At 32.3% G+C, this 19,713-nt stretch overlaps 1 long non-coding RNA gene across 1 annotated transcript in view; it reads left to right on the top strand.

The window, feature by feature from the left end:
- LOC105377428 (uncharacterized) overlaps positions 1–17,915 on the top strand; it is a 34,489-nt gene extending 16,574 nt beyond the window's left edge. Inside the window, exons 2-4 of the long non-coding RNA XR_939203.4 lie at positions 9,961–10,560; positions 15,436–15,571; positions 16,485–17,915. This is a non-coding gene — a long non-coding RNA (uncharacterized LOC105377428). The remainder of the gene's footprint in view (positions 1–9,960; positions 10,561–15,435; positions 15,572–16,484) is intronic.
- The last annotated feature ends 1,798 nt before the right edge of the window (positions 17,916–19,713 follow it).

Raw genomic sequence — 19,713 nt, 5'->3', positions numbered from 1 at the left:
TCCATAATATTAATGTGCCTCCTCCAATCAATTTAAAGCCTAAAGAGAAAAGACTGAAGTCATCTAAGGAAGAGGGAATTCTGCCTTGAGATTGCTTTTAGACTTGAGTTACAACATAAACTATTCTCTGGGTCTACAGAATGCTAGATGTCCTTCAGATTTCAGACTTGCCATCCTCCACAATCACATAAGACAATCCCTTAAAATAAATCCCTCCTTATGTATACATGCTATTGGTCCTTTTTCTCTGGAAAACTCTGACTTAATACAGTCTTTACAGTCTTATGTGATACAGATAGTAAGACAAGTTCTACAAATGGGAGCGTGTAAGCAGTTGGTAATGTTTATATAGCCTTTTGCAAAACACATGCACACACACAAACCCTAGTCACACTGAATTTATAAACAAAGAGAGTTTCTATACATAACTATCTTTAATCCTTAGTTTCAAGCATCACTGTCTATATCTATAGTACTGTTGCTTAAAAAGTGTTACCTGGGAATCATTATAATTTAATACAAAACTAAATGTTTTTAGTAACTGTCCAATTTTTGTATTGGTTTGGTACTCCTAACCCTGTCTTTTTTTATGACAATATTTTGTTATCTCCTTAATTTTTTACTTCTCTCTTGCTCTGCTTAAGAAAATTGGTACCTTCTAATTACTTTTCATAATTTCTAGTTAGAAATATATCAAACTTTCTTTGAAATGTAAGTTTTGGCATTGTGATTACTTAACTGAAAGTAAAATTTAAAAATATTACCGATATCTTTATAAAGTCAATTCTTAGTTGGTTTCTGTTAAAGTCTATTTTGATGATAAATATTGACTAAACTGCATTCAATTGAAACCCAGAGTGAAGCGGTGCCATGCATTTGCATGTAGTCATGTCTGTAGGGTTCCATTCAATTATGTAAAACCACGATTTGCTCTAATTTAAGAAATCCTAGATAACGTAAAAATGACAATCAATAATATTGAATATTACATAACTAGGAGGGTTCTTTGGAAGATAATGCAATATAAAGCATGCAAATCACCAATCTCACTTCCTTACTGATCAAAATATTATAATGTGGCAGTTCTGTTTTTAATAAATATTGTTTAGAACTAAGACCACCTATAAGAACAAATTTAACATCTGAAAAGAGTAGCAAAAAATATCTGTTTCATTGTGAGAGAACTTTGAAATAATGAAAACTCGAATGACCAAGATAACGGAAAATAGGAAGTCAAGAGAGGTAAATCCAATATTTGGCACTGCTAACTCCTTGTGACATGATTAAATTTTTGAAAAGTAGCTAAAAGGTTGGTATGCCAAATAAAAAAACCTGTTAGTAAAAGTCTACAGAGCTACAGAGGCCTCTTAGAAGTCTTACCAAGCAATGAACAAAACCAAAGTTTAGTATCTTTCAAAGAGGAGAGGCCATAAAACAATGTTTAAAGTGGGAAATATAAAGAAAATCACACTAGCATAAAGGTATACTAGAATGAGACAATACTTCATGAAGAGTTAAACAAAGATGCAAAACTAGTTCAATTCCTAGATTGAGGTCATATGTTCCTAGCCTATGAATCTAAAATTAATGAATCTTTACCATCTTTGTATAAAATAACATTAATCAAAACCTCAAATTATCACTATATTTTCACACAAAATATCTGGTAATTTATATAAAACATATATGAATACATAGGACTTGACACTAAAGCAAGTGAAAAAAACACCCCAAAGATATATTCATATATGTGTTTAACAGAAATAAAATTTGAAAGAATTGTATTGGTGTGTTCAATTTGATAAATGTCAAGGTAAATTTTTCAACAGAGAGTATAAAACAATAGTTACATGGAAACTCCAAAACTGAAAATAAAATAACTAAAATCCAGATTCAATGGGTGAGTTTTATGGCAGATTTTTAAAAGCTGAACAGAAAATTAGTGGACTGGAAGATAGATGACAAGAAAAAATACATTCTGGGGATTAGCAAAACAACAATAAAATCAATTTTAAAAATAGCATACACAGTAAATAGGATCTAGTAAGTGAAGGAACAATGATATCAAGGTCCCAGATTAAATGAAAAAGATATGAGACAGAAACTACTTGAAGAAATAATGATGGATAATTTCCAAAATGTATGATAAATTATACAGAGAATAGTAAGCTAACATAAACAAACATATTTTCATAATTAATCCCTTTTCTGTTGCTTATACTGGAATACCTAAAACTGGGTAATTTATTTTAGAAAAGAGTATTTTTCTTACTAGCATAAAAGCAGAGAAGTCTAGGGTGGACAGGCTGCATCTGGCCAGGGCCTTCTTACTGGCAGAGACCCTCTGCAGTGTCCCTATTCAGTGTGCGGCATCATATTCCTAAGGGGATGAGCATAATACTATAGCTTAAGTCTCCCTTGCTCTTCTTATAAAGCCACTACTTCTACTTCCACAGTAACCTGTTAATCCATTTATTCACAAATGAATTAATCCATTTATGTGGGCAAGGACCCTTATTATCCACTCATCTCTTAAAGGCCTCACCTGTCAATACTACCATATAGGGGATTAAGATTCAACATGAGGTTTGGAGAAGACAAACGTTTAAACCATAGCCATTTCCATTACATAAATTTACGAGGTGAGCAAAACTAATCTGATTTTGCAAGTCAGGATTGAGTTCACTTCTCAAGAGGAAAATTGAGATGGTAAGTGGGAAAAAGTAAGGCAGTTTCTAGTTTGATGGTAATGTCTTGTTTAATGAGTCTGGTCATTTTCTTACATTCATTAAGTTGTACCCTTATAGTTTATGTACTTCATTATGTGTATGTTACCCATCAATATTATTAAGCCCAAGATAATTTATTATATTATTGTTACTATTTCTAAATATGGGAAATATGTATGGAAATGTTATCTCTAGGAGAATCCCAGTAAAATAATTTAAAATGGCAACAATTTCTCTTTTGTATGTTGTTCTACAAGTTGTTGGCTATGTTGCCAGGGGCACCATTTAGTGTCAATCTAGGAGGAACTACTTTTACTTTAATCTCACCTTAGTGCTCTTATTTTTAAAAGTCCATCAACAATGATTGCTTATCCAACACTCAATAAAATCTTGAAAACCCTTGCACGTTAAAAGATAAAGCCCTTCTTAAATCATTTTCATCCCTTCTTCCCCAACTTCAACTCCTCTCTAAATCTTTCCCCATTTCACCCTCATGTGGCAAGAAAATCCACATGTATTAATCTTGTCTCTCTTAGAAATGCACACAAAAATACTTACTACAAATACATGTATTGGTGTCAAAAAATTATACTTTAGGGGAAATTATGTAATTTCTTTGAGACTTCAGGTCATATTTAGGCTTATAAAAGCCATGAGCTAACCAGGTAATCTGAAACATAATTACAGTCATTTAACAATTTTCATTAAAGCTTTAAAAATCAAATCTGGACCGTATTCAAAAGAAAGTCAGTATTAAATCAATTAAAAGTTATCAGTTGTATGTTATAGAGCAAATTAGAACAGGTGCAAAATTCATAATACCTTTGTATTCTAACTTGCTTTGCGTCATTTTTCAAACTGTTATTTTTCTATGTACTTTTATGTACTTTTACTATCAAAGCAATAATATTCACTAAATGTAAAAAGTGCAAAAGATATTTTGGGTTTTGTTGTTGTTCTCTGTATTCCAAAACATATGTTTGAAGGGCAAATTCAGTTTTCCAGATGAAGTCAGCTTGGAAATCCAAAGAATCTTTTTTGATTCATGCAGAGTCATGTATTAACCACTTGAGATTTAGATAAAAGGGATTTAAGATTTCTCTCTTCTCATTTACAGATAATTGCTTTAATAATTTACTCTCTAGTTTGTCTTCAGAAAATCAGCTTTCTAAATTAGTTGTCTATTGAAGGTCCTCAGGTGTACACAATGTCAAATTGAGTATTAACTGAAGTGTGTTCTCTATTAGAAGAAGAAATTCCATCTGTGCTTATATTCAATGCCTGGCTACTGAAATATACTTAATATCCATATCTGAATTAATTATGCAGGGAACAAAATTTACAGCATGACAAGTTAAAGCTTCTATCCTTTCATTATCCAAAGGATGCAGATCATCCATTAAACAGTTGGCCAACATGAAAAGCATTCGACGTTACGTATTTGTAATGAAATATATGTATATATGTATCAGGTAAAACACATTCAAATAACAGTATCTTGTACTAATGTTGTCATTTAAATTATAGTTTGTACTTAGCTATTTTCCACAGACATATAAAATAGACCAACTTTATGAATCCTTCGGAAAATATTTGATTTGATTTGAAATAAGATGCAACATGAAACATCTAATTGTAGTGATGATTGCTCCACAAGACTCCAATTTGACTGCGTCCTCAACATAGTCAGAGTTTAATAGTAGAATAAAAGTAAATACGTAGAGTTGGTAGCTCCTGAATGCTTTTATAGAAACTGACTACTGGTAGCTACATCAAACTTGGATGTTTTAAGTCTCAATTATATGTCCAGAAAAGGCAGACTGACTTCTGCATGAATTCTTTCAATCATTGTTCCTTGTTTCTCTGCCTCTCACTCTCTATATATCTAAATCTCTTTTTTCTAGAGCTTTTATTTTCATAATGGTTAATAAAATTTTCTGCTTTTACAATGTTGTGACACTTTACTATAATATTTAGTATTATAAAATTGAACATAAATTAATATTAAAATGTTGCTTTCTTTAAATAAGAGGATAATAGTTGGATCTTCACCTGTGAAGTACATAGCTCAACTTAATTTAGTGCTAAATTTTTATAATCCCTTCACCTAACAGTGCATAAAAGTCACCTTTTATAGTTGGCAAACATTGATTTAACTAGGTTGATGATTTATGAAAATGAACAATGCATGCACTCTTATGCAACAATTTTACTACAGCTGCACACTAAGCATCTAATGAAATAGTCATGTTTATACATTTTATTAGATTTATTTTTTCCTGAAAAATAGCCAGGATATTTATCCAAGCAAAGTGGCTATACCTTCAATGATCCAAAAATGTTTTTATGTAAAATAAGCTATCAAATACATATTTATAGAAGCTCAAATTACACAATTAAAAAATTATGAATGGTATATAACTAAAGAGAAAAGAAAACAGTTTTTTATTTCTTGTGAAATCTGATGCTCGTTTTACATATGAATAAAATCACCACCTAATTTATTCTGCTTTCAGGACTATGCTTTAAAATAGTATCTAGCTACATAAAAATGAGTCATTGAATTCTAAAACTGTCATGTGTTAAGAATACCGGCCGGGCGCGGTGGCTCAAGCCTGTAATCCCAGCACTTTGGGAGGCCGAGGAGGGTGGATCACGATGTCAGGAGATCGAGACCATCGTGGCTAACACGGTGAAACCCAGTCTCTACTAAAAGTACAAAAAAATTAGCTAGCGTGGTGGCGGGCGCCTGTAGTCCTAGCTACTCGGGAGGCTGAGGAGGGAGAATGGCGTGATCCCGGGAAGCGGAGCTGGCAGTGAGCCGAGATTGCGCCACTGCACTCCAGCCTGGGCGACAGAGCGAGACTCCGATTAAGAAAAAGAAAAAGAAAAAAGAATATTAAATCACTTTCTTAGTGTTACAGGTCTACTTGAGAGAAGATGCATCTGTAATACTTTTAAGTTTTCTTCTTAGAATACACATTAATTGTGCACTCAAGTGCACAGAAGGTTAGAAAAATGAGTACTCAGATATTTCTTTTGTATGCTGAAATGGACTGTGGAATTTGAAAAACTACCAAACAATTAAAATAACTTATCTTTTAATTCACTTTAATTTTAAGATGAAGAGTTATAAAATAAGAATAAGAGATATTTTCTATCACCAGTCCTCTTATTATAGTAAAAAGCATAAGTGTATATGAAATAATCAACTAACAATGTAATATATTGTATAATTAACAGGTAAAATTAGTGGTTTAGATTATAAACATTATATTACAAAGGATATTCCTGTTTAAAGGAAGAATAGCAGGCAGTGTAAGAAGGCTGACAATAGAATAAGCTACATTTTAAAAACATAAAATAAAGTTAAACGTGTAATATGACAGATTATACACTGACTTGAGAGAAACTAATGAGAAAAATTGACAGTTGATACATATATACTTGAAAGTTGTTTTTGAGGCATGCTAAGCTGAAAATTCAGTTGTAACTAGAATAATGTAGGTTGTTGCTTGCCCTGATTTAGACTTATATCTTCTGTTTAGAATGCATATAGCTTCTGCAAACTGTTTTTTTCTTTCTCCTAGATCCTATAAAAAGCAGCAGGGTAATTAATTTATCAATAATATCCAACCTGAATATCATTAGCTATATATGGCATTACCACTCTATATACCCAAAAAGGGGGATATGACCTTTATCCTAGGTCAGGTATCATGGGAGTCAACTCACTTACCTGAATCTATTCTTTCCAATTCTCCTGGTTATCCGGTTTTCCTCTGTCTTCCCTAAGGCTTTGAAACAGATGGGCAAGAAATCTGCGAATCATGATAGCTATTATTTGAGATCAATTACCTTCTGCTTGTCTTTTTTTGGATGGGTTAAATATTTTTATTTCTATCAAATCTACTTTGCATGTCTTAAATAGCATTTTTTAAATTATCTATCTTTTATTATTACCTGTAAATATTATTGAAAAAAAAGAGTACTAGTACATTGCATTTCAAGAAAAGCATTAGTGAGTAAATAAAAGTTAAATAAAAGTATAAATCTTATCTGAAAAGAAGTTATTGAATGGTGGATGGGTAAAAATTAAAGAGATTTAAAAAAATCCTCTGAGGTGTCTAGTGTGTACCTTCAGGAAAGTATTTTTTTTTCCTATTAAAAGGCAAATGAAAACTAGGAAGGGAAATTTCTATAAATGACTAATGAGAACTATGAAGCTGCATTCACATATTGAAATAGAATATATGCTAGTAATCCAAGACTAAATGTGCAATTGAAGATATATATTTGTACTTGAATGAGAAGTCAGAACCGTCCATTTGTGAATCATTATTTGATTGTAAGACACAAGGAACATTAAAGACAGTGCAGGACAGTGCAGGTTTCTGAAGACTTAAGATCTTCTTTCCTCTTCTAAACACGTAAAGGGGAAGGGCCCTTTGATCCTATAACCTTCCATTCCTACATCCAGAAGTGGAGAGTCTCACTAGGAAAGGGCTTCCTAAGGGGAGCACCAGCATTGGCTGGGTTGAAACACCTCCATCCACTAAGGAAAGGAGAGGAAATGTGGAGATCTAGGGAAAAGTATGTTCCAGTTTCATCTGTATTTATATAATTTGGAAATTGGACCAGAAAACACATTAGGATATTTTAAATTCAAAAGAGAGTGTGAATCTATTATCCATAAAATATTAGATAGTGTTCATAATTAGAATGCCAGAGAAAGTAAGAGAGTATTTGGAAAATTAAGCAGTTTTAGGATCTTTCATTTTCAGCTCCTAATTATATGCTGATGAGATGGATGTGTTTCAAGAAGAAAGGCAGCATCTACCATGTCAAATAACATGTAAGGACTAATCAGGATAGAACATGTTGACTAGTTTACTAGAAGGTTCTTTATAATCCTCATGAGCATGTTAATTCAGAGTGACAGAGTTGACTTTCTACTCTGCCTTAAACAGTGTGCTCCTAGGCAAGTAGCTCAACACTTTCGAAACTCAGTTTACCATTTAAAAACTGTGATGATATTAAGTATTCAAGTCTGAATCAAATTATAGTTGATATTTTTGAAGATTATTAAAGAGATTCAATTAAACCCTTTTCGATTACTATAAGTGTTTGCATTTCATTCTAAGGAATATAGAAAGATAATGGAGGGTCTTAAAAAGAACTGAGATAATAAATTGCTGTGTGAAGAACAGGTAAGAGTACAACAGCAAGAGCAGGAAGACAAGTGGTGAGGAATAGTGTAAATCTAGGTGAAAGATGATGTCAGTTGCTTGACACATGATGATTGCAATGGAGAAGATAAGGAGTAGTCATAATTTTAATAGATTTTGAAGACAAAACCAACAGGATTGGCTGCAAGAGTGGATGCTGTATTGTTGCCTAGATTGTGAAGTTTGACATTTGTACAATGAATGGCCAGCAGTGGAGGGAAAAGTTCTCCATTCTCCAAACCATGAGTGCTAGTGAAAGGCAAGAATACTTTGAGAAATGAAGGCCTTTACTTTTTTCTCCGTTTATTTTTGTTGTGAAAATGACACTTAAGACCTCTTATTTTTTAAATGCACAATACAGTATTATTAGCTAAAGCACAATGTTGCACAGGAGAGCTGCAGAACTTATTCATCTTATGTAATTGAAACTTTATACATACTAAATAGCAACTATCTATTTTCCCCTTCCCTAAGCCCCTGGGAACTACCATTCTAATCTCCACTTCTGTGAGATTGACTGTTTTAGATAGCTCATACAGGTGAATCATGCAGTATTTTTCCTTCGGTTACTGGTTCATTTCACTTAAGATACTGTCCTTCAGGTTCATCCATCTTTTCATAAATGGAAGAATTTCCTTTTTTTTTTGAAAGGCTGAATAATATTCTATGGTATGTATACCACATTTTTTATCCATTCATTTGCCAATGGACATTTAGGTTGCTTCCGTATATTGGCTATTATGTATAATTCTGCAATGACCTTGGGAGTCCAGATATCTTTTCAAGATCTGTTTCTACTTCTTTTGGATATAGATCCAAAAGTGGAATTTATGGCAATTTTATTTTTAGTTTTTTGAGAAACTACCACATTGTTTTTTATGATGGCTACACAATTTATTTCTAGCAACAGTGTACAACTGTACAGGGTTTCTACTTCTTCATATCCTCACCAACATTTACCTTTTTAAGTTTATATTAGTAATCCAAGTGTGTGCATTGATATCTCATTGTGGTTTTGATTTGTAGGTTTCTAATTTGCACAGGGGCTTCAGTGCCTGCTAAGCCCTTAGACAGGTAGACCCCTTCAGAATTGAATTGTCACCTTTTTTTGCTAATAAGCCCACTGCCTCATATGAACTAATTACAGGATGTGGTAATTGTTGTTAAAACATTGTTGAAGGTTTTCGGCTCAAGCACTTGTGAGAATTGTGGAAACACAACTGTAGACTGTGAAACATTCAGGTAGGACATAATTAAATTCTTCTGGAAACCAATGAGGATATTAGCCACTACTTGTTTGAACTCTTGATAACTAATCACATCCTCTTATTTACCAGTTTTTCCTATTTAATATCTACAATTGGAAGCATTGTTATATTTTTAGAGCTGTATTAGCAGGACATTTCTTCACCTTGACTGCCTGAAAATACTAGTTTTCCCATATTGATTAGAATAAAGATTTGTCCCTACGTCTATGGTTAATACAGAAAGGAAAGATCTTCACCAAGTACAATTGTTGGTGAAGACCATCACGTTGTTTAGTACCTTGTATTAGATATAATAGTGTTTTTTTTTTGGTAAATATCTTTCTCTGTACTATTAGCCAACAGAATTTCTATGGAGAAGCAGTAGAGGGTGTTCCAAAGAAGCACTATATATAATTGTTCTACAATCACTTCATTTGGAGTCTATACTCTTGTAGGTGGTAGTAATTACTCTTTTGGTAAACTAGTTGGCCCAGAAATAATTATTTCCAAACTTTTGAACTGAAACATGATTTGAAAAAGTTTAAAATGGTAATGTTTCACCTGTTTTTATTTCTATTTTCTCTGAATAGGATCTACAGATTTATCGTTACAAATTATAATTAAGTGTATTGGGAGTAATGTCTATAGAAGTATTTGATTTAATAAAAAAATTAAATTAAAATAAAATAGTTACAGCAGCAGGAAATTACTGAGTAGTTACGGCCTACTGACCTCTGCTTCAATTTTCTTCCCAAGGCATATAAAAATCAGCAAAGTTAAAAACTGACCTGCCGGGCGCAGTGGCTCACGCCTGTAATCCTGGCACTCTGGGAGGCCGAGGCGGGTGGATTTCCTGAGCTCAGGAGTTTGAGACTAGCCTGGGAAACATGGCGAAACCTTGCCTCTACTAAAAATACAAAAAACTAGCCGGGCATGGTGATGCGTGCCTGTAATCCCAGATACCCAGGAGACTGAGGCAGGAGAATCGCTTGGACCAAGACAGCGGCACCGCACTCCAACCTGGGAGATGGAGCAAGACTGTCAAAAAACAAAACAAAAAAAACCTACTAGAAGCAAGGCTGTGAGCAGAAAACTAAAAACTGAAACAGAAACCACAATTTTCCAAATGCTACTGTTACTTACAAAATAAGAAAGCATTATACTAAATCAATATCTAAGACACAAACTAAGTTCAAACTCAACAACAGTGTATTTAGATTTACATATATCAAGAAGACACCATTAATACAGTGAACTAACATTAACTCTATACAGAAGTATATTTTTGAAAATAAGAAAACTGCTTCTTTGAGTAACTTGTTTGGTTGACATATTCTGACAAATCTTGTAACCAAGGTAAGTCCTCCATATTCTGTAAGTATCTTTCACTGACTCCTCCATGCTCTACCTCATGGATCTCCTGGTTTTCATTCTCCACTGCTACAAAAAACCAATATATCCAACTTTGTTCAACTGCAGGTATGTTGCTAATGGTCTTTGTTTAGTGGGCTTTAGCAAGTATAGGTCCTACAGAAATTTGTCTGACACCCTCACTGCCATAGACAAGTACTTAGTTGCAGATGTAAATATGAGACTCCTTTAGTATTCATGTATTTAAAGCACCACTAGAAACTATTCCAAATGTCCATGAAGACTAGAATCGATAAATGTGTTGTGGCATATTTATATAATGCCATATCATATAATAATGATGATAGACAACTACAGCACATAGCAACATGGATGATTATCATAAACAATACTTAGAGAATCAGACACGCAAAAAATACATACTATATGATTACATTTCTAGAAAGTTTCTAAATAAGAAAAGTTCATCAATACTGCTAAGAGTCAAAATGGTGGTTACCACTGGTGGGAGAAATACCTGAAAGGGTGTTTTGGAGAGGCTCTCGATTCTTGTGAAGTTTTTGTTTGTTTGTTTGTTTGTTTTCTGTGTTCTGATTACATAGGTGTGTTTACTTTGGAGGAAAATTCTTAAAAAATAGATATTTAATTTGTATATTTTTATGCATGCCTCTTAAGATCTCAATAAAAGGTTAGGAAAATAAAACAAAAACCCAGAGTCCAAAATACTAAGTAACATATTTTCCCACAAGATCTACTCTACACAATGGGCTCTAGTAGATAAAAGTAGATAAAACAAGTTTTATATACTTTAAATAATAAAAATAGGTAAAACAAGTTTTCATTTGATTGTAGTCAAATGTTATTCATATTTAAAGAGCCAAACATGCTACTATAATAAAGTTGTATTTCACTAAATAAGAAAAATGTTATTTAGAAAATGGGAGTAGTCTCAAAACACTATAAAGATATGAATTTTATATTTTAATTAAGAAATACATGTTTCTATGCAAATATATACCTGTTAGATTAATGTTTATTTTCTGATTACATGTGCATGTATCAAGTGAGTTTCAGAAATCATTTGGCTTTGCTGAATTCACATTTCTCTTTTCCTTTTTACATCATTTTTTATCATTAAAAGCTCAGATAGGAATGAATATGTTGTCATAGTCCTTGCATACACCCATATGTCAAATACATGATTACCATTTGTGTGGAGTTCACAGATTTTAAAAAATACATCCTCAGACAATAACACATTTGGACTTACTCTGTGCTATCTTATGATCTTGTAAACTTCAAAGTTATCTGACCAGTCCAACAATAATCATTAGTTATTATAAGCTGAATATTTTTACCAGATATTTCACTTCAATAACTTTCTTATTTTGAATATTATGTTTTTAAAATTATCGATGTGATTAGAAGATTATCTCACCAAAGTAGATGCGGTTAGAGGTGTGCTCCATGAAACATACATCAAATTATGCACCAAATTAAACCTAGATCTAACATATTAGTAGAGGTGTCACAATGTAGTTACTATGTAGCCATTAAAATGAGGATTTTTGAGTTATTTGGTAATTGGCCATATTTTTGGCCATTTGCAACAGGAATCATTTGGAACTAAACAAAATGAAATAGCAATGGCTAAGAAATCTAGAACAATTAGCAAACATGATGTTAATAATACTGAGACACACATAAACTCTTTAAAGAAAGTAATAATAAATCAAATTAAATGAAGCAGTATTAACAAATGTGACAATAAAATTCTTCATTTTGTTGATTTATCAGCAGGAAAAGGTTTAAACATACAGCTGTTTTAGATCCTGCTCAAAACATTGTATAATAACCAAAAATATTTTTAAAGATATAGGTAAAATTTTTTCATAATGATAATTTAAAAAATGTCACAAGGCAAAGATGACCACTCTCATCACTTCTGTTCACAACAGTACTGGGAGTACCAACAAGGGCATTTAGACAAAGAAAAAGAAAAGGTATCCAAATCTGAAAAGAAAAAGTAAATTAATCTCTACTTGCAGATGATATGAGCCAAATTTATGTAGTAAGTTCCCGAAGACTTTACAAAAACTGTTAGACCTACTAGATAAATTTGGCAAAGCTGCAGAATATAAAACCAACATACAACAAACCCATGCCATTTTTATACACAAATAACAACTTAGCCAAAAGAGAAATCAAGATAACAGTCCCATTTATGACAGCACCAAAAAGTAAAATAAAATACTTAGGAATAAATTTAACCAAGGAGGTGAAAAGTCTGTGTGCTTAAAACTATTTAAAAATATTGGGCCAGGAGCGGTGGTTCACACCTGTAATCCCAGCACTTTGGGAGGCTGAGGTGGGTGGATCACCTGAGGTCAGCAGTTTGAGACGAGCCTGGTCAACATGGTGAAACCCTATCTCTACTAAAAATACAAAAAGAAGCTGGGCGTTTTGGTGGGTGCCTGTAATCCCAGCTACTCGGGAGGCTGAGGTAAGAGAATCAGTTGAAACCGGGAGGCAGAGGTTGCAGTGAGCCAAGATCACGCCATTGCACTCCAGCCTGGGCAACAAGAGCAAAACTTCGTCTAAAAAAAAAAAAAAAAAAGAAAGGAATAAAAGGAAAGAAAAAGAAATCAAAGAAGATACAAATAAATGGAAATATATTCTATGTTCATGGATCAGAAGAACTTTATAAGTTTCTTAAATTAACAATAAACATCATTAAGAGGATCATATAGAGTTTAAGTGCAAAGAAATATTTCCAGTTACATAGTCTTCTAGGTTGCTCTATGTACCGTAACAATTTCAAAATTATTTGCTATATTCTCATGATTTAGAAATGTTGATAGTTAATATGCATTGATTATATTGATTTTATGAATCAATTACATTTTATTTATCACACAGTGTGATAACATAGTAAAAATAATACGGTAAAATCCCAAAAATAAAACAAAAAGTGTTGTAATCACAAAAAAGGCTTGTCTGTGACAGAGTTATCAAGAGAAATGTTCCAGTTCATCACAGTAACACACTGCCTTTTAGCTTATACGCTGTTACAGAGATAAAACAAACAAACAAAAAATCCCAGTTACTTGGGACATTGAATAAGGAAGGTTCCTTGAACCCAGGAGTTCAAGGCTGCTATAAGCTATGATCACGCTACTGCACTCCAGCCTGAATGACAGAGTGAGAACTCATCTCTAATAAATAAAACAAGAAAACCATCCTCTGACTTTAATTATTGCTTAATTGACATTAATTTATACCAGTTTATTAAATCTCCCAGTTATCTCAAGATTTCACTTATTGGATGAAATGTTTTGTCTTCAATGAAAAATACCAATACTTCATAAGAGAGTTTTTTTATGTAGGATAATGTTTCTTGCTCATGGAAATCATCATCTGATCAAGAACTTAAATTTCAGTGGTTTGTCTTTCCTTGGTTTTCTGTTTCTTCTCTGTGAATAGTGATAAGGAAAACATATCCAAACAACATTGGCTCTTTATAACTGAAATTGATAAATCACTGTGCCCAAGTACGCCTGTCTGAGAAGTACTTTATTTTCCTCATACGTATCTTAACATTACTCCATAAATTATAGCTCATCAACATTTATTGAGCATCTACTGTATATCCACAGCCAGATTATGGGGGATACAGTTGACCAGTTGCCCAGCATACATTGTGCTTATTTATTAGGGCACCAAAACACTGTATCAGTCACAATTTTGCATTAACTTATTAAGTTTTGATTATAGAGTGAAATGGATAAGTTGAGTAGTAGGTAATTGTGTTAAAATTTAAAGTAATTAAATTAATTTTTCCTGTATATATCCTGTCTTCACAGACTAATGCTTATATACAATCTTTGTTAGCAATTTAAAAGTATATAATTTAAAAGTATATAACCAAAAATAATATAATGCTAACCTAAACCATTTGTTTAAAATTATTTAAATTTTTTTCTCCAGATATCTAAACCCATAAAATAAAGTCAAAAACATAATTTTGTGTGACATGAAAGAGTATTTAATGGTATATCTTAACATTATTAATCAAAACACTTAGGTCATTAGTATTTTCTCTCAGAGTAAAAAGTAAAGTAGTCTTTAAAAGATTCTTATGATGTAGAATCCCTCTACCACCCCCCTCTTCTTAATAATCTCTTCCCTGGTGAGTATGATCCAACCATATTGTACTCCAAGATGTTTTCCGAACTTATCAAGCATACTTCTGCTTCACAGCCTTTGAACTTGTAATTCTCTTTGCAGTTACCTGTGTGCTCTATTCCTTCACTTCTAATAACACTCTACTTAAATAACATCTCATCAGTGACCCCTTTCTTGACAGCTCTCAACTTATAAGTATTTAGATTGTTTCTAAAGACCAGGATTTTATATGTCTGTGTGTGTGTGTATGTGTGTGTGTGTGTGAATATTACTTTAGGATAGTTTTTTTGAGTGGAAATAAGTCAAAAGACAGAATTTTTAAAATTTGGTAAATATTAAATTGAAGTCCCTTAAGTTTATATATGCAGTGTTTAAAGGTGGCTGCCTATCTATAGTCAAACCCAATTGTACATGCCATCCATTTTTTTTGAGGTATTTGCAAAGATTAACCAACATGATATTTAGTTGTTTAACTTATAATTTCTTGTGAGTAACTAAGCTGAGGGTCTTTTTTAACTATTTTCTGATGTTTCTTTTGTGAATTGTCTGTTTAATAAAATTCTCCACTCTAAAATTAAAATCACAAAAATAATTCCAATGCTTTTTGTTAATTTTACATTTTTAGTAATTTTGTTTTTGGTGGGTTTTTTTTTGGTTGTTGTTGTTTGTTTTTAGATATGGGGGTCTCACTTTGTTGCCTAGGCTGGAGTGTAATGGTGATTCTGACAAATGATCATAGCACGCTACAACCTCTACATCCTGGGCTCAAGAGCTTCTCCTGCCTCAGCGTCCCAAGTAACTGGGACTACAGGTAAGTGCCACTGCACCTGAATATTTAATTTTACTTCTTTAAAATTAATGAACTACTGGATAAATTTAGAATTAATTTTTATGTTTAGAATGAGGAAGATTTCCAAACCTTTAGTTTTCAAATAGTAATTTGTCAAAATGTGACTGATTTAATTTTTTATTTTTTCCTCATATTGCCACTTCTATAGTAGACTAGATTTTTACATCTATTTGAATTGCTGTATGCATCATCCTATTTCCTTAAACAATTCCTATTTCAGTGCCAGTAACCAAAATTATCACTTTTTTATCTTATTATCTTTTTCTGTACTTTCTTTTATATGAGCTACTTAATATGATTTTCCATATTCTAAAAAGTTTGTAAGTAAATTGATCAGTATGAGAATTGACATATTTACAGTATTGACTTTTTCCTGTAGGGAATCATTTCACATTCTTTAACATACTTAAATCCTTTTAATTTGTTTAAACAAATAGAATTGTAAGGCTTTTCTGCTAAAGTTCTTATTATTTCTTGGAGGACTTTCTTGTGTGTGTAATTAATTTTATCATTTTTACTGCTATTATAACTAAGATTGTTTTCTTTTGTAAAATGCTGGAGATGATTATTGTTAATACAGAGAAAAGCTATTGTTATTTATATATAAATTCCTATAACTAGTCATACACACATTGTTATTGCATGCATTAATTTTTTCATTTGATTTTAGTATTGATTTTCCAACTACTAAATCGCATTATATAAAATGATGATAAATTTGTATCATTTCTATAATTTTTAATTGATTTCTTTCTGTTGAATGATTGAATTTACTAACTCCAGAAAAATATGTTAAATAATGTTAGTGATTTTGAACCTGCTTGTTTAAATTTGATTTAATACTGATTTATGCTTCTGTTTTTTCAATGTTTAGATTTCAGTTTAGGTTTATCCGTGGAAAGATGGAGGAATGAGAGCTAGAGAACAAGAGAGCAAGTGAGAGTAATGGAAAGTCCAAAGGAAAAAGATGGACAAGACGAATGAAGGGAAACAAGAAGGAAAAGAGAGAGGCAGAGGGAGAGGGAGACTTATTTGAGGATTTATTTTTTAATCAGTAGTTGATGTTGATTTTTTCAAATAATTCTTAAGTCTTTAGCTTTTTGTGTTATTAAAATTTTAAAATATAGAAAAATTTAATCTATTACTATGGTCTCAATCGATTTTCTAATAATTGTCTTTCGTACATTTGCATGTCCCATGATTTTTTACAAGTCAAATCCCATGACATCTGTCTGAGGTGGGGCAAAGTAAAAGTATTACGAAGGTTGCTATTATAAACTGTTCTGTAGATGATAACATCTTTGCTGAGCTATAAAAGCACACTCATGGGGTAAGAGGAGACAGAAGACAGTGTGATTTAAACAGCTAATTACTGGAAATAGTGAGATATCATATCAGATAAATAAGGTGATCATAAATGGATGTCGATCCCAGAGTGTGATGCAATTATGCTCTTTCCTGCCATCACCTCAGCACAAGAGAATAAAACTCTTAGTTTTATCTCTTAGACATGATTTGTACTAATAGCTGATAGGAGAAACCCCCAAATTAGTTTTCTCTTGAATATATTTGGATTTCTGCTGATCTTTAAGCTCTGAGGACTCCTTAAAATCTGGAAAAGAAGTGACACACCTTTATAAGTAGTGAACATTCTACCAAATGATATTTATGTAAGTGATCTATTGCTGCATAATATAGTAGAACAAACTCAGCAGCTAAAAACCAGCACACATGATTCTCTCATAGCTTCTCTGCATCAGAAATCCAGTTATGGCTTAACTGTATCCTCTGCTTCAGGGTCTATCACAAGGCTATCATGAGGAGATAGAACAGTACTGGGTTTTTATGCGAAATTAGACTTGAGAGACTCTTACCCCTTCCAAACTAACATGGTTGTTGGCAGGATTTAATTCCTGGCAGCTGGTAGGATTGAGAGACTTGGTTTCCTGCCAGCTGTTGGCTGAAGGCCTGAGTTCTTTGTCATTTGGACCCCTCGAATATAGCCCCTAGCTTCATCAAAGTGTGCAAGCAAAGGGAGTGGCCACAGCAGAGACGGAGTTAATTAGTAAGATAGAAGGTAAAATTGTATATCATGTTATCATGGAAGTAACGTTCTATCAATCACTGTGCCACATTCTGTTGGCTAAAAGCAAATTACAACTTCCTGTTTCAGCTCCAGCATGTAAAGAGCTTTGAAGTGATGGCTTGGTTCTTACACAAAGATACAAGAAAAATAAACCAAAATTTGACAACTATTTTTGTATCTGTCAGAGAAATGAAATTCAGAGAGGTGAAAATGTGATGAGACGGCAGAAAGATTTCACTAAGTATAAATTTCCACATAGTGTTAAAACTTTGAACCCAGTAAATATTAGTACAATAAAAATAAAATAATTATAGAGCCTGAAATAAATATATGCTAAAATTAAATAATAGAAAATCAAACCATAGACTAATATCGAATTGGTGACTTTTCTCCATGAAGAAATAACGTTAACAACTTTGGAATACAGTATACTGAAACTGACTGGGTGCCTTGCAGAGATATAGTCTCAAGAACAAGGGAATCTTGTAATTTAAATAGATACTTTTAATTCTGTTTGTTTCCAAAACCACAAGCTGGACTCTCCTCTTTTAAGAGGGTCTTTATTAAGTCATTTGGGTTCTGACACTGTGTTCTGGACCATGTTTCTGGTGTAAGTCTTCCACGTCTTGCTTATATGCTGACATCTCAGGTCAGACTTCCCCTGCAGGGAATCACCGTCTTCACTCTGCTTGAGTTGCAACACCTTGTGCAGGTTTACCTTCTTGCAGATATGACCATTTTTCCTCTGTGGTGCATGAGCCACTCTACATTTTCTCCTTAAGTTCACATGGACTAGCAATGAACAGAACCTTAAGAACTTTCCTAAATATACATTATCAGAATTGTGAAGAGCCCAGGCCTAAACAATTAGCCATCTTAGAAGATCAATTACCATAAAAAATGATAAAAAGCCTAAATATTATAATATTATAATTATTATAAAATCATAAAGGACAGGAAACAAACATGCTTGTGTAATGTTAACTTTGATTCCCCAAACTTTTAAAATTTACTTTAATTCTTTTTTAGTGAATAACAAAAAGATGTATTCAGACTGGTAGTAAATGTGTATGCAGCTGTGCACTTGCTCTCTTTCTCTCTCCCTATATGTATGCATATATATTATTCAAATGACCAACACTAAGCATAAAATCATTGTAAAGTAACATTTGCTAAATGAGAGTGCATCAAATTAAAAATAAGCATGTTTATTAAGAGATGTTTTATATCCAATCCTAAAAAAATTGGGATTCATTTGGTTCTTCTGTAAGTTTTGTTAAAAAAAATATGTAGGATATAAAATATATATATATTTTATAGAGATATAAAATATATGTAGGATATTAGTATACATAGGATATATTTTATAGGATATATAAAATATATGTAGGAACTTAAATATATGTGGAATATAAAATACCTCTGTATTTTTTTAGATTAACCTGAGATATTTGAATATGGAGCTAGAAGAGACGGTATGCTAATTATATGTATACCTCTCATTCAGTATACATGCTTATGTATAGTATTTAAGGAAATGGATTGCATACCCACAGTAATTCTAATTATTCTTATTTATATAATCACCATAGTTGATAGTTTTTTGAGGTCTCTATGCTAGGCACTGACACAAAGCTATTATTGGATTGTTTAATTTGAATCTTACTACTACTCCATTTGAGCTGATTGCATTTTCATTTTTATATATGAGAAAACCAAACCTTAGAACTCAAGATCTCACAGCTAGGAATAAAATAATGAAGCTAAAGGAAAACATTGTATGCGCCTAGAAACTTTGAATCACCACATGGTCCTGTCTCCCAATATCATCTCATGAATCCCATAATGGGAATCTCATTATTCCCATTCAGAATCAATAAAATGTTTATTTGTGTGTATTCAAATTGTTTAGATCAAAGTATAATAAAAGTATTATTTCTACTTTTATCAAAATGTATTTATTTAAATGGATTAATCCACTACTTTTACATATTAATGTCCTTAATGAAAAAATAAA

Source organism: Homo sapiens, chromosome 4, assembly GCF_000001405.40.
Source record: "Homo sapiens chromosome 4, GRCh38.p14 Primary Assembly".
NCBI classification, from domain to species: Eukaryota; Metazoa; Chordata; class Mammalia; order Primates; family Hominidae; genus Homo; species Homo sapiens.
This window is presented reverse-complemented; position numbering and strand designations above follow the sequence as displayed.